The 1560-nt window shown below is 37.3% G+C and overlaps 1 annotated feature.

The window, feature by feature from the left end:
* Positions 470 to 1156: an enhancer, noted in NCBI's record as "OCT4-NANOG hESC enhancer chr4:180630948-180631634 (GRCh37/hg19 assembly coordinates)". NCBI's record gives its function as "activates a minimal SCP1, AML or CMV promoter by ChIP-STARR-seq in naive and primed H9 embryonic stem cells {active_cell/tissue: H9 hESC(naive and primed)}" and the evidence as "EXISTENCE:reporter gene assay evidence [ECO:0000049][PMID:30033119]".

Below are 1560 nucleotides of genomic sequence, written 5' to 3'. Positions count from 1 at the left end.
CTGTCTAAACTCCATTTTGCCCCTTTGAACCATCCAATTATTTTATAAAAGTTGTAAAATCTCAAGGGAAAGGTCCTTGTGTGGAGAAAGATCTAATGCTCACACTCATGTTAAGCACAAAAAATACAGGCACTGACCTCTATCTTTTTCTACTAACCACTGGTCTTCTTTAATCATGCATATGTGATATAAAATCATATATATGTGTGATGTTAATCATTAGTATTTAACCCTGTAAAACCCCTTTGCATTTTGTGTTTTAATATAACAACTTTTGCCCCAATATTATTACTTCATACAAGTACATTGCTTTTATTAATATGATTAAGATGGCATGTGTACCATTTAAAAAGCTATCGGTTATAGACTATAACCTTTGCTATGGTCTGAATGTGTGCTCCCAAAATTTATAATTTAAAATCTAAATTTTCAAGGTGATGGTATTAGAAAGTGGGGTCTTTGAGAGGTGAAAAGTCATGAGGGCAGAGGCTGAGAGAGCTTCCTTGCCCCTTCTGCCATGTGAGGTTACAGAGAGGAGATAGCTAGGAAGGAGGCTTTCCTTGGACATGAAATCCACTGGCACCTCAGTTTGCATTTTCTAACCTCCAGAACTGTGAGAAAATATTTATGTTGTTTATCAGCCACACAATATGGTATTTTGTTAGAGTAGCCTAAACGGACTAAGACAACTGTCATGCCATTTGATTCGCTTAAGTGAGGCATCACCTGCTGTGCAGTAAAAGAAAGGCATCACCTGCTGTGCAGTATAAGAAAGCCACTTCATCTCAACAGCAGCAGCCCATAGAGGATGTTAATATGGAAGAGAGGAGTCACACTGCATCAGTCAAACAAAGCATACCTGGCCTACTCAAGTCAAGAACTGCTTTTGTTTGAATGTTTTTGGCCTTCAAAACTCACGTTGAAACTGACAGTCCTCAATGTGGTAGTGATGAGAGGTGAGGCCATTGAGAGATGATTGGGTCACAGGGGCCCTGCCTTCATGAATGGATTAATGGATTATTTGGTTAATAGATTAATGAGTTATCAGGGGAGTGGGACTGATGGCTTTATAAGAAGAGAAACAGACACCTAAGTTAGCACACTCAGCCCCTCACCCATGTGATGTTCTGCACTGCATCAGGACTCTGCAGAGAGTCCCCACCAGCAGGAAGGTTCTCACCAGATTCAGCTCCTCAACTCTTGGACTTTTCAGCTTCCCTAACTGAAAGAAATAAATACCTTTTCTTAATAAATTGCCTGGCTTCAGATATTCTGTATAAGCAATAGAAAATGAACTAAGACAATCACTCAACAAATATGGTCAACATCATCACCCTAATCACCTTAATCATTCTTGATATTTTTATTGTGAAACACCCTAATTTTTTTTTTTTTTCATCCAAGCCTTAGTCAAAAATCTTGTGTAACTTTAAGGTACGTATATGTTAGTGAAAAGAATTAATATGAATGAGGAAACATGACCTAATAAAATAATTTTAGTTTTCATTTAATATATGTGAACACCAAAAATAAAATCATAAAGTCAGTTTCTAATTCCCT

This window comes from Homo sapiens, chromosome 4 (assembly GCF_000001405.40).
Source record: "Homo sapiens chromosome 4, GRCh38.p14 Primary Assembly".
NCBI lineage: Eukaryota > Metazoa > Chordata > Mammalia > Primates > Hominidae > Homo > Homo sapiens.
The sequence above is the reverse complement of the archived record's forward strand: the minus strand, read 5'-3'. Positions and strand labels throughout refer to the sequence as shown.